The 14,746-nt window shown below is 40.5% G+C and overlaps 1 protein-coding gene across 1 annotated transcript in view, besides 1 other annotated feature; it reads right to left on the reverse strand.

Annotated features, from left to right (window-relative positions):
* The window catches only part of UBE2G1 (ubiquitin conjugating enzyme E2 G1), a 97,417-nt gene that overhangs the window by 37,264 nt on the left and 45,407 nt on the right, over positions 1–14,746 (reverse strand). The window contains exon 2 of the mRNA NM_003342.5: positions 499–601. Within this exon, the coding sequence (NP_003333.1) occupies positions 499–601 (103 nt within the window). The remainder of the gene's footprint in view (positions 1–498; positions 602–14,746) is intronic.
* Positions 10,668–11,435: an enhancer, noted in NCBI's record as "H3K4me1 hESC enhancer chr17:4220485-4221252 (GRCh37/hg19 assembly coordinates)". NCBI's record gives its function as "activates a minimal SCP1, AML or CMV promoter by ChIP-STARR-seq in primed H9 embryonic stem cells {active_cell/tissue: H9 hESC(primed)}" and the evidence as "EXISTENCE:reporter gene assay evidence [ECO:0000049][PMID:30033119]".

The raw sequence follows: 14,746 nt of genomic DNA on the forward strand, positions 1-14,746 counted from the left end.
ACATTAGAGCTTCAAGCAAAACACAAAAACTCTTCCATGATCAAATTCAGTACAAAGGATATTGAATACAGCCATTTCTCCTGCTCCTTAAAAAATAATTTCATGTCAGTTTGCCAAAATATTTGTGGTTTTGCTTTGTTTTGTTTTGAGATGGAGTCTCACTCTGTCACCCAGGCTGGAGTGCAATGGCGTGGTCTCAGCTCACTGCAATCTCTGCCTCCTGAGTTCAAGTGATTCTCCTGCCTCAGCCTCCTGAGTAGCTGGGACTACAGGTGCATGCCACCACACCCAGCTAATTTTTGTATTTTTAGTAGAGATGGGGTTTCACTACATTGGCCAGGCTGGTCTCGAACTCCTGACCTCATGATCGGCCCGCCTTGGCCTCCCAAAGTGCTGGGATTACAGGTGTGAGCCACCGTGCCCAGCCTGCCAAAATAGTTTTTAATTCAGTGTATTAAAAGAGCTCCATTTTGAAGATGTCAGTTCCATTATACTTACTAAAGTGTATCTGGAGGGCCAATAATAAGGACTTCCCATCGGTAGAGATCATTGTCATCTATTAAACCTGCAGAAAAGCCTTCCACTGGATTTTTGTTGAGTTCTGTGGAAAAAGAAAAGTTTAATCAATACATTTAAGCACATAATTTGCATCCAGTAGATAAATTACAGAACTTGAGCGTACATGTTTTATGTAAGTTTTAAACCATTAAATAGATATACCTTGCCAGGCAAAATGCTACTTGATGGCCAAAACATTTTCATGCCTATACTGTAAGAAAGCCCTGGGTAAAGCAAACTATCCAGAAGATCAACTTCTACTGGTATCCAGCCAGGCTCTTGTCATTCTAAGTGGCCCTACAGTGGTCTTTTAAGGAAGCTTGTTAAAATGCAGATATCCAGGCCCGTCCCCCAGAGATTCTCATTGAGAGGGAGCCCTGGAAATCAAATCATGTTGGCAATTCTTATGCTGCTGTCTTCAGGGTATACTTTCAGAGTGTCTAATCATACCTTTTCATTGGAATGTACTGCGCTTAATAACTTTCATTTATACTAACATTTGTACACCTATTTGACTTGTCCCTGTAGTCTTGGGGACCTGCTTCTACAGTGGGTGCTCCTGTGTGCCCATCCATCTCTGAGCACAAGGAGAGCAGGGGCCCCATATGTCTTGTCTGTATATGTCGACCCTCTGAGAGCCACAGCTTCTGGGACAGAGGAGCAGCTTAAGAGTAACACCTGGAGCATACAGAATGGCTGCAGCATCGTGAGGTTCTCCTCCTCTAAAGAGAGTGCTGTGGCATGGAGAAAGGATGACAGGGTGGGAAACAAGAGAGGCGAGGAACTGGCAAGGTGGGGGCACACAGGCCAAGACAGGGACCTTAAGGAGCAGGTGAGCAGCGGTACAGAGCCCAGAATGTTTCCAGAGACACCAGACTTAATAAAGTACTGGCCTCCTGATGGTGAGCAGATCATGTGAGAAATTTTTAAACAACTTTAATGAGGTATAACTGACATTCAGTGAACTGCACATACTTAAATTATACAATTTGGCCGGGCGTGGTGGCTCACACCTGTAATCCCAGCACTTTGGGAGGCCGAGGCAGGTGGACCACCTGAGGTCGAGAGTTTGAGACCAGACTGACCAACATGGAGAAACGCCGTCTCTATTAAAAATACAAAATTAGCTGGGCGTAGTGGCACATGCCTGTAATCCCAGTTACTCGGGAGGCTGAGGCAGAAAAACTGATTGAACCCAGGAGGCAGAGGTTGTGGTGAGCCAAGATCGCGCCATTGCACTCCAGCCCGGGCAACAAGGGCAAAACTCTGTCTCAAAAAATATATAAATAAATAAATTAGCTGGGCATGGTGGTGTGTGCCTGTAATCCCAGTTACTCAGAAGGCTAAGGCAGGAGAACTGCTTGAACCCGGGAGGCAAATGTTGCATCAAGCCAAGATCACGCCATTGCACTCCAGCCTGGGTAACAGAGCAAGACTCCATCTCAAAAAGAAAAAAAACACACACACACAATTTAATAAGTACTGATATACACCAGAGGAACCAACACAACAACAATCACAATAGTGAATGCATGTATCAATCACCCACACAATTATCACATTTTACCGGCCAGTGGAACTGAGTACTCATTGGCTCAAATTGGAAAGTGTGGACAAAGAACACACAGGAGTAGAGTGGTTTGAAAAGGACTTGCTGGGAGTCTCAACAGGTGTGTAATTCTCGTATACTACCTGCCATCATTCTCAGGCAGCTTTGTCTAATGATGAAAGGCAGTATAATATAACTCAGAGTGCTACAAAGGACTGAACCAATGTTTAGGTAACTGAGGAGATATTAATTTTTGGGGAAATCAAGAGATGGTATTATTTCAACAACTACGATTTAACAACATGCCAGCAAAATAGGAGAAAGCCAATAGTGAAAATTTATATTTAGGCAGGGCGTGGTGGCTCACACCTGTAATCTCAACGCTTTCAGGAAGCCAAGATGGGTGGATCACTTGAGGTCAGGAGTTCAAGACCAGCCTGGCCAACATGGTGAAACCCTGTCTTTAGTAAAAATACAAAAATTGGCCGGGCATGGAGGCGGACATCTGTAATCCCAGCTACTCAGAAGGCTGAGACAGGAGGATCACTTGAACTGGAAGGCAGAGGCTGCAGTGAGCCAAGACCATGCCACTGTATTCCAGCCTGGGTGACAATGCGAGACTCCGTCTCAAAAATAAAAATAAAAAATTTATGTTTAAACATGAAGTGCTTCTTTTCTTGAAATGTGAGGGGAGATTTTTATAAGTCTAACATTTTTGCATAACAGGCAAACTAGACTTTTACAAATAGTTAAAATCAGCTCTGTATTTCAAAACACAAGAAATGTACTTTTACTTTAAAGTGGCTAATCTAAAATACTTTTTAAAGATATTGAAAGTGCAAACACATTAAGAAGGGAACAGCATTTTCACTGTTATTTTGTTTATGCACGCATATGTGTACTGAGCGCCAACTATGTTGCAGACATTCTATTAAAAAACAGAAAGTCCCACTTTCCTGTCAACTGAGGAACAGAGTGCAGCACACACAAATGCACTGTGAGGAGTTATTTTCTACATGACTGATCTCATTTCCAACCTTTTTCTAGAGAAACACCATTACATTACTCGGACCATTTTCTACAACACTGTACACAAGAGTCTTGTGAAAGATTCTATAATATATCCAGAAATCACCTAGTTGTTGCATTTTCCACCAGAAGTCCAGGGTTTATAAACATAGGTGAGTAAGCTCTGAAATTAGTATACATGGTCAAAATTACCCTTGAAAATTTCCTTACACTTTCCATAAAGCATATCATTGCTTCTTACTCTTGTCAAAACCCCCAAGTTCTTGAAATCTTTTGCCCATTCTTTCCATGCATTTCTTCTACAGGCATAATTGTGTCCTTTGCTTGTTCCATGTAAGTAATACAAAAGCAATGTTGAAAAATGTCCAATGTCTCACTTTTGTCATGGCTTCAGCCCCCAGCATGAATCTTCCTAGGTCTAGATGCATGAATATTTAACAGGCTTAATCCATTTAAAGTGATAGAACCTTACCATGCCTTCATGAATGCTTCCTTCAAGGTCTCTATCAATACTAGCCCCCTCCATGAAGTCTTCCCTAAATAATTTATCAAATAATCTTTTGGCTTCTGCTAAATTCCTATTAATTGTACTTTCAGTCTATCTACATCTTCTGGCACTTGACCAACATCGGCTCCTGATCCCCAGAGAAGTAAACAGGCAATTACAATGTGCTCCAACAACAGTACAAGAATTTGAGGGCACACAAAAAAGAAGGGCACATAACATAATCATGAAGAATAAGAAAAGGCTTCTAAAAAGAAAAGAAATAAAGGATTTGGGTGAGGGAATTCAAGGTTTAGAATCTGAACCCTACTTTAGGTAGAGGAGCATGTACAAAAACTTGAAATAGGGCAATCAGTATGTGACTGGAACGGCGGGGGGCAGGGGAGCAGCTGAAACTAAACAGAATGTCAAAAGCTGGACAGCAAAGGGCCTTTGTAAGCCCTGCATGCTTGGACTTTATCCAGAGGGCAATGATAAGCCTTTGAAGGGTGGTTCTTTTTTTCTTTTTCTTTTAAACAATGGAGTGACCTCATGAGATTTACATTTGCAAAAACCAATCTTGTAGTATGTAGAAGATTGTTTAAAAAGGCATGATGAGAACAAAGAAACAAAAAGCAAGCAATTCAAGTAATCTTGAAAAGTGTACCTCGAGTATATAGTAGTCGAAACAATGAAGAAAACAAGGCTATTTAGAAGAGAATCAATCAACCTAACCTGGTGATGTTAAAGAAGTGGGGCTTAAAGTAGTAAGTCAAAAATGACATGAGCTGGGCATGGTGGCTCACCGCTGTAATCCCAAAACTTTGGGAGGCTGAGGTGGGCAGATCGTTTGAGCCCAGGAGTTTGATGCCAGCCTGGGCAACATGGCAAACCCCTGTCTCTACCAAAAAAAAGAAACAAAAGAGTACAAAAATTAGCCAGGCACAGTGATGTGCACCTACAGTCCCAGCTACTCGGGGAGGCTGAGGTGGGAAGATGACTTGAGCCCAGGAGGCGGAGGTTGCAGTGACCTCAGATGACACCAGGGCACTCCAGCCTGGGCAACAGAGCCAGACCTTGTCTCAGTTTAAAAAATAATTTTTTTTAAAAAAAGTAAAATGACATATGATTAAAAAGTTGAGCAGAGTTACCATATGACCCAGCAATTCCACTTCTAGGTATATACCCTAACATCTGTCCACACAGCAAGTTGTACATGAATGTCTGTAGTAGCATTTGCTGTAATAATCAAAAGGCAGAAACTCAAGTGTCCATCGACAAATGAATAAACTGCAGTATATACATACAATGAAATACTATTCAGCCACAGAAAGAAATGAAGTACTAATATATGAAGCTCAGTAACATCAGGCTAAGTTAAAGAAGCAGACATATAAAGTCACATGTTATATGACTTATTCTATATGATATATCCAGAAGAGGCAAATCCAGAGACAGAAAGTAGATTAGACAATGAGGGAAGGGAGAAAGGGGGCGTAATTACTTAAGGGGTATAGGGATGGCGATTTAATGGTGTGATGAGAACGTCTGAAAGCTAGATCGAGCTGGTGGCTGGCTGCACAACATCGTGAATACACGAAACACCACTGAGTGGTACACTTTAACACCATTACCTATAATGTCAATTCCTCCCTCCCTGTTTTTCTGACACCAGATTTCTGTGCAAGGGTAGAAATCTGTTCATTCACTGAAATGAGAAACATAGGAGGAGGTTTGTCAAGAGAGGGGAGGAAATGGTGATGGGCTTGGTATTAAATGCCTTTTGTTAGGGACAAAAAATACATTGCTTTAAAAAGAAATCTACTGGGCACGGTGGCTCCCGCCTGTAATCCCGACACTTTGGGATGCCAAGGCGGGTGGATCATCTGAGGTGAGGGAGTTCGAGACCAGCCTGGCTAACACAGTGAAACCTCATCTCCACTAAAAATACAAAAATTAGCCGGGTGGTGGTGGGCGCCTGTAGTCCCAGCTACTTGGGAGGCAGGAGAATCGCTTGAACCCAGGAGGCGGAGGTCACCGAGATCATGCCACTGCACTCCAGCCTGGGCAATAGAGTGAAACTCCGACTCAAAAAAAAGAAAGAAAAAAAAATCTGAGCTGACGATAGAGACTTCAGGGTTATCAGAATATGGCTGATCACTGAGGTTGTAAGTTGATGCATCACCCAAGGATAAGCATTAATATAAACTGCAGGGGATGTAACCGAATGAATTCTAGAAAATATTAACAACTGAGAAACAAAAAACAGGAGGCGGCACAAGGTAAACTGAGAAAGGTAAGCCAGTGAAATAGGGAGGCCGAGGCAGGCGGATCACGAGGTCAAGAGATCGAGACCATCCTGGCTAACACGGTGAAACCCCGTCTCTACTAAAAATGCAAAAAATTAGCCGGGCGTGGTGGCGGGCACCTGTAGTCCCAGCTACTCGGGAGGCTGAGGCAGGAAAATGGCGTGAACCTGGGAGGCGGAGCTTGCAATGAGCCGAGATCGCGCCACTGCACTCCAGCCTGGGCGATAGAGCAAGACTCCATCTCAAAAAAAAAAAAAAAAAAAACAAAAGCCAAGAAAACATTTTATTAAAGCTAAAGGAGATGCATTTAAAGGAGAAACTATCCAATGATGATAAACACATACAGCTCAGGGAAGAAGGGGTCTATATTCAGTCCACTGGATTCAATTAAAAAAAAAAGGCCACAGTTGCCCTCGGCATAAGCAGTGTCAGTGTGAAGGTAAGGTGGAATCCATGCAGGCAACGCTGAGTGGACAAAGAGAAGATGAAGTGGAAAAACCCAAGTGGAAATTTTTTCTAAAAGTTTGACGGTAGATGGAAAAGTGTAGTAGTCACGGGTAAATGAAATTCAAGCAAGTTTTATTTTAATGGAAAAGGCTGAAAGATGTTAAAACATCCTATCTGTGTTTAAATGTTGATACGGATACCTCACACTACATCCAAATCCAGACAGATTACAGATATAAACAAAGAGGTATAAAACCTAACTAAAAGAAAACATAGAATAGTGTTTTTTCACATCAATTTGAGTGGAGGTGGTCCTCCTATGCAGGACACAAAACTCAACAGTCAAATAATGCTACACAAAATACTTTAAGGTTAGTACAGCAATAAAGTCTAAATACAAATGACTGGGAAAGAATATTTGCAAAATAGGGAGAAGTTTAAAATTCCTAATACAAACAGAGCTTCTGTAAATCAAAAGGGAAACTAAAACCCAAAAGTGACCATGCTTGACCTTCTACTTATATTCCTAAGGTATTAGGAGTTTTGAGAATGCCAAAGATGAAGATAACATCTTTTCTGAATGCTATCTAGAGATAAAATTAAGAGTTGGAAAGGGCTAGAAAGACCTCTCTTTCTCACAAAAGTCATGACTGCTAAAACACAAAAGTTTATAGTTCTAAAGGAGGCAAAACTAACCAACAGTATTACAAATCAGGACGATAGTATTTCTCTCTCTCTCTCTCTCTGTCTTTTGGAGCAGGAAGTGAGAGTAGTATCTGGGAAGAGGCATGGAACGGACTTCTGGTGTACTGGTAGAGGCATGCCGTCCGTAATATGTGCGTACTTTCCTGTCAATGTTATACTTCAATTTTTAAAACTCAGTAAATCCTGGAGTATCCAGTGACTGTTAAATGGGAGTTATGCTTGCATGCTATGAATCTGGAAATCACTGTGGGCCAGAGTGGTCTACAAGCCATGAATAAAAAGGAAACCCAGGGACAAGGTAGTGTCCTTGAGAGTAATGACTTCTATGTGTTAAGTCATGGAAAATAATGCATGAGCAGACTTGCTAAGATAGAGTCATTACCAAGAATAAGACTAAAAAAGAACAGAAAGAGCATATGAAAAGTAAAAACGCTGCATTTCTGAATCGGAATTAGATGAATATAAAATGACATTGCTTTCAAATATATAGTTCTCAGATCTATCCACTGAAAAGGTCTAGAAAAAATGAACAGCCCAGTAGTGCCCAGAATATGGTTTCTAAATATGAATTTATCACTAAAACGGACCAGGGCTCTTCAGAGAAATGGCTGACTCCAGGTCTAGAGCAAGAAATGTTAGGTTCATCTCACACATAGCAGACAAAAAGGAAGCTATCGAGTAATACTATGGTATTGTGGAAAGGACTCAAGAGCCAGCTTGAAGAGGCCTCCACTGGTCAAATATGGGACAATTTGAGTGTCAATAAAGTTAGTAACAACGAATGCTTGAAATATGCAAGTTTAAATCCATGAGTTTATAACTGTGAAATCAAAAACAAGAAACAAATTTATCACCACTACAGGATGCTGGGAAACCATTTTGTTATTCTGAAAACCAATTTTAAAAAGCAAAAGAATCAACATTTAGTGTGATCCTTTTTTATTACACAAATTATATTGCCAAGTAATCAAAATAGTAATTACTATTTGATCAAATGAGGTTTCTCTCTATAAAAATACTCCAGCTAAAAAATGAAAAATAACTGAAACATTGGCCATTTTATCATTTAATCCAGGCATTTTAAAAGACAACCAGATATTACAGTCTCCTGAAAAATGAACAAACCACCACATATGAAGTAATCTCACCTCACAAACCTAACCTGTTTGAGCCCCTAAGTACAATAACTAATTCACAAAGAACAGAAACAGAGAAACATGTTCAAGGACATCCCTGGGACACAATTAGCAAGATCTACTCTGCAGGATATTCTAAAGAACAAGACCTAGAATCTTCAGCAAATATACTGCAAGGAGCACAAAAGAGAGAAATGAATTCAAACTTTTTTTAAATTTATGACGATTATGACACAAATGAAAATGTGAAGAGTAATGAGACATTAGACAATATCCAGAAATTGTTGTTTCCTTTTTGAGTTTGGCAGTGGTGTTGTGCTGGGGGTTTTCTTACCATTTTTAGAGATACATACTGAAATATTTACAGACAAATGATCATGTTTAGAATGTACTTCACAGTCATTAGGGAGAGGGCTAAGATAGGTGAAACGAGGCTGATCCATGACCTAATCACTTCAGGGGCTGGGGGAGTACATGGAGGCCCATTATACCTATCTGTCTACTTTGGTATTATTGGGCATTTAAAATTTTCCTCAAAAGATTTTTTTAATCTAAAAATAAGTTTAATATAGCCTAAAATAATGTTTTCAGTATTGTCGATCATTATGTAAAAGTAAAACTTCACTGCACCTCAGCAAAATACAAATTCTCAGAATAACATTCCAAGACCCAACTAGACGTCATTTTGTACTTGACTACTAAGAAAATAAGCTACTTTTGGCCGGGCGCTGTGGCTCGCGCCTGTAATCCCAGCACTTTCGGAGGCTGAGACGGGCGGATCATGAGGTCAGGAGATGGAGACCATCTTGGCTAACACCGTGAAACCCCGTCTCTACCAAAAATACAAAAAAATAGCCGGGCGTGGTGGCGGGCGCCTGTAGTCCCAGCTACTCGGGAGGCTGAGGCAGGAGAATGGCGTGAACCCGGGAGGCGGAGCTTGCAGTGAGCCGAGATCGCGCCACTGCACTCCAGCCTGGGCGAAAGAGCGAGACTCCATCTCAAAAAAACAAAAAACAAAAAACAAAAACAAACAAACAAAAAAACAGAAGAAAAGAGGCTCCTTTTTTTTTTTTTTTTTCCTCCCTGAGACGGAGTCTCGCTCTGTAGCCCAGGCTGGAGTGCAGTGGCGCGATCTCAGCTCACTACAAGCTCCACCTCCTGGGTTCACGCCATTCTCCTGCCTCAGCCTCTCCGAGTAGCTGGGACTACAGGCGCCCACCACCACGCCCGGCTAATTTTTTATATATATATGTTTTTAGTAGAGACGGGGTTTCACCGTGGTCTCGATCTCCTGATCTCGTGATCCGCCCACCTCGGCCTCTCAAAGTGCTGGGATTACAAGCGTGAGCCACCGCCTAAGTGTACTTTGCCAAGACCAATTGTTGGCTAAGTCTAACTTCTACAAAGCCAAATACAAACTGAGGTTTACAGCCTAGTAACGATTTTCCTTTGTGTCTGGGTGACTGTGGTCTCCTGCTCCGGGAATGTGAGTTCCTGTCAAGTTTATTTATACAACACAGTTGGCTGCAAGGTATATGTCTGTAAAGTAACTATTTTTACTGCAGCTTCACTTTGAACTTCTGAGATCATAGATAGACAGACCCCTTTACCCAAACAGTACATAATTACTCCTAACTATTGAGATAATTTGTCAAAATAATTTTGACCTTATTATCAGAGGAATAAACTGCTGTTACCTTAAAACATAAAAATGCCACAAACCAAGTCACCAAAAGTAACTGCAAAAACGTTCCCGTCCTTCAACCTTCCATTAATTAATACTGAAAAAAGTCAAGCATAGCAATCACAAAGGTGTATTTCCTCTTTAGATTTCAAGATGCATCAAGTTAATAAATTTTACAAATTTCTGGTAAACTTTAAAAATTTGCTTAAAATTAGAATTTTTTATTTGTACCACGACACGGGCTACCGGCTAGCTGATTTCCTAATCAAAAACATTTTTGGCCAGGCACAGTGGCTCATACCTGTAATCTCAGTGCTTTGGGAGGTCAAGGTGGGAGGATCGCTTAAGGGCAGGAGTTCAAGACCAGCCTAGGCAACAGCAACATAGAGAGACCCAGTCCTAGCTACTGGGGACGCTGAGTCAGGAGGACTGTTTGGGCCCGGAAGTTTGAGGCTGCAGTAACCTAAGAAGGTGCCAATGCACTCCAGCTTGGAGCAAGACCATGTCTCTTGAATAAAAAAAAAAAAAAAAAAAATCAAGGCCAGGCTCGGTGGCCTCTAATCCGAACACTTTGGGAGGCCGAGGCAGGAGGATCGCTTGAACCTAGAAATTTGAGACCAGGCTTGGCACTATAGTGATACCCTGTCCAGGTGTGGTGGCTCACGCCTGTAATCCCAGTACTTTGGAAGGCTGAGGCAGGGAGATAACCTGAGGTCAGGAGTTTAAGACAAGCCTGGCCAGAATGGTGAAACCCCATCTCCACTAAAAATACAAAAATTAGCCAGGCGTGGTAGCGGGTGCCTCTAATCCCAGCTATTCAGGAGGCTGAGGCAGGAGAATCGCTTGAACCTGGGAGAAGGAGGTTGCAATGAGCTGAGATCGTGTCACTGCACTACAGCCTAGGCGACAAGAGCGAGACTTCGTCTCAAAAAGAAAAAAAAAAATTAGCCGGACATGGTGGCATGTGCCTATATAGTCCCAGTTACTCGGAAGGCTGAGGTGGGAGGACTGCTTGAGCCTGGGAAGTAGAAAGTGCAGTGAGCCAAAACCACACCAATGCACTCCAGCCTGGGAAATACAGAGTGAGACCCTGTCTCAAAAAACAACAAAACAAAAAATATTCCACCCAATTTATTTTACTGTGCTTCAAAAACATAAGGAAAATGAAACAGACAAGCCAAACAGATCAGAGATGATCCCTTAAAAAGAATTTGTCAATATGCTTCCCAAAGGGATTTGCTTGGCAGAATTCTGGACCACATTCCTAAAATAACACTTACTGACATTCTGCTACCTGTAATATTTCACCCTGCTTATCACAGCTTCTTCAATCACAGGCGTCAGGGTTCTTCAATATTAAGTCCTAAGTACGTTGTTGCTTGTGCATAAATTATACACAATAGCATAAGCATGCATCTCTGCCAAGATTTGTCGCAGCAGGAACTCCTCACAATACCGAAATTATGCCCTAACACTAGTTTATAGTGTCACACAAACAGCTTACTTTGATCTCGCCTATTTTATAGAAATAAATTTGATAAAGATGATTCCTGAGGATTTCTGAATGTCACTTCACAATGGAAAATTTGGGCACAGCATATGATATTATGTATTACTAGCCTGGGCAACTTAAACAGATCATTTCTATTTTTTGAGTCTCATTTTCCTTATCAGTAAAGGATGGTAAAGCCCTTGGTAACGTTGCAACACGGAGAAGATATTGTATATGCGAAAGTCTGACCCAGCTTAAGGTACAATAAATGTTAGTTGTCCATTTTCTTCCTTTAAAATTGCTCATTAATTAGGCTACAGGACATAAAAGGAATACGTCTGTATTCTTCAGAATCCTGAGAACAAGCCCATACCTGAATTATTTCTTTTGGAAAATACTACCCAGCTTCAAACCTCACGCCCAACTATGTTTCTAGTAGGACTGCCAAACAAGGCCCCCGGTACCCCAAGGCCACAGGAGGGAGTGGTTTTTCAGAGTTGGGAAGCTGTGCCATAAAGGCCTGAGAGCTGCCAATAGCCGCAATTCAAGTCTCAAGGAGAATGAAGCCAAAACGAAGAATAAGCAACAAGAAATCCAAACAGATCTTTGATTTCTTACACCTGGTACTACTCCTGCCCTTCTATAAACTTAGTTAGAAGTCAGTTTTCCTTTTTGTCTAAATTTATTTTAGTTGAATTCCTGTCACTTCCAACTAAGAATGCCACCTTCTTCATGTGTAAAGCCCTATTTTTAAGTTCACATCCCAGTTGGTCCCTAATCAGTTTCCCCTCGAATACACCAGTGGTTCTCAACTGTCCTTTTACCTTCCCCACATTATACGGGGCAAAAAAGTGATTCTCAGGCTGCAGTGAGTCGTAAGCATGCTGCTGCTGAAGGAAGCAAGCACAGTCATGAGATTCTTGAATTTCCAATTCACTTTAAGTTCATTTCAACCACCAAATAATACATATAAAAAACCAGAAAGACTTCAGAAAAACAGTCTCAAAGAAATTACAGAAACATATTTTTAAAGAAGACCAGAAAGAAAACATTATAAAGCAACAGGAGACCTTAAAGGAAAGTGAAAAACAGACTAAAAACAAATCATGGTCATAACTTTCAGAAATCATACTTCTAATGAAAAGATAAATAGTTATTTTTAAAGAGTAAAGATAATAAACAAAGGAGATTTACATAAGTTAAACTGGCATTCCTGAAGAGATCAGAATATTAAAATGTCATAAATCTATAAAGCTTTCTATAATAATAAATATACAGATTGAAAACATATCCCACAACTCAGAAAAAACTGGTACAGAATAAACAATAAAACATCTGTCAAATGAGGCACTGAACTTTAAAGTTAAATAATATCAAGGATATTCAGGAAGGGAAAAAACAAGTCCAGTATAGGTGGGTGGGTGGAACCAACCAGGTTAGCCTCAGATTTCTCCACAATACTCATTGTAGGTAAGTAACAGTGACGTGAAGAAATACGGAATCCTGAAGAAGAATGTGATAAAAAGAATGAGAAATGCAGCCAGGCATGGTGGCTCATGCCTGTAATCTCAGCACTTTGGGAGGCCCAGGCAAGTAGATGCTTGAACCCAGGAGTTCAAGACCAGCCTGGACAACACAGGGAGACACCACCTCTACAAAAAATACAAAAATTAGCTGGACATGGCGGCAAGCGCCTGTGGTGCCAGCCACTCAGGAGGCTAAGGTGGGCAGATCACTTGAGCCCAGGAGGTCGAGGCTGCAGTGAGCTGTAAGCATGCTGCTGCACTCCAGCCTAGGCACCTGTGTCGAAAAAAAAAAAAGAGAGAGAGAGAAGCCCAAACAGGAAGTCCAAATAAGATGGTAATACACATTTACATGTATTGTAAACTTTAAGGACTTAAGAAATGGTACTTTTTGAATTAAATGCTGCGAAATCAATCAAAATAAAGAATTCAGTAACAGAAAAACGCAGGTGAAAGGGACCAGTGTAGTTACCAACCCCATGTAAATGCATAAATAAAACCAAACCACCATGAATGCTATAAGCTTTTATATATATATATTTAATAATATATGCTGTCATTGCCAAGTGGCACACGTGTGTGTGTGTGTGTATTATTTTCTTGTTGCCATTGGTCCTATTTTTACATTATCAGGATTTATATATAAATTTACATTGTCAGGATTTTACATTGTTATTTTCTGTATTGTCGTAATTTTACATTATCAGGATTTCTATGTTAAAAAAGAATAACCAATTACTAAATATATCTATATTTATGATTAGAAAATGGGAAGGGAATGGAGGGAAAGGGAGAGAGGTACTAAGGAATACATATGTGTTTATTCCCTCATCCTGGACATCAGGAAGTCAGTGGGTTCTATCAAGAGTCTCAAAACTATTTAGAGGTTTTTATAGATTTTCTTCTCTCAACTTTAGGACTCTTTTAGAAATTAATCTCTTCTTGCGATAAATGTCTATCTATAGGTCAATAATTTCTTCAATATTACCTTAGCTGGGTTGTCATTCATATGCAACTTGCAACTTAAAGTATATAAATGGCACATCTATTACAACCTCAGATTTCAGCCCGCATGCATGCACTGAAAGGTGGATGCAAGGATGCCCAACGTTGGGAGACATCTGTAGGTGGTGGTTGTTATTACTAAGTAGTAGAATATTTTCAACTTTCTTTTATGTACTTTGATTTTTTAAATTATGAAAAAAGGCCATGTATCCTAAAGTAACATAGGAAAATAAAATAGAAGGCATTAGACACTACCTTCTTGCTCTCCAAAGACAACCACTGCTAACAATTTGCTGTGTATTCTTTCAGACTTAGGCTACACCACCATATACTATACAGAAATGGAATCATCCTTGTATAACTGATGGCCACTTAGCATAGTCTGAACACTAGATAACTCGTTCCCACCACCATACCTCTTTTCGTTTTCCCCCTCAAATATAAATAATGCTGCCTAGGTATGAGCTGAGAGGAGTGAAAAAAACAAAAAGTAAAAAAAAGAAATTATGAATATTTAAAAGTCTTTTTAAAAATAAATAAAAAGAAAAAACAATGCTGCCATTGCCAGGCGGTGTGAACCTGTAGCCCCAACTGTTCTGGGGGATGAAGAGGGAAAATCTCTTGAGCCCAGGAGAGTCTGAGGCTGCAGTGAGCTATGATCGCACCATGGCACTCCAGCCTGAACAATAGAGGAAGACCCCATCTTAAAAAAAAATTAATTTAAAAAGAATACTTTGCACTCTCCTTGTACATCTGTGGAAGTATATCTAGAATATAAACTATAAACTGAACTGTAAGTCAAAGGAACATATATATCAAGCCACA

This window comes from Homo sapiens, chromosome 17 (genome assembly GCF_000001405.40).
Source record: "Homo sapiens chromosome 17, GRCh38.p14 Primary Assembly".
In the NCBI taxonomy this organism is placed as follows: Eukaryota; Metazoa; Chordata; class Mammalia; order Primates; family Hominidae; genus Homo; species Homo sapiens.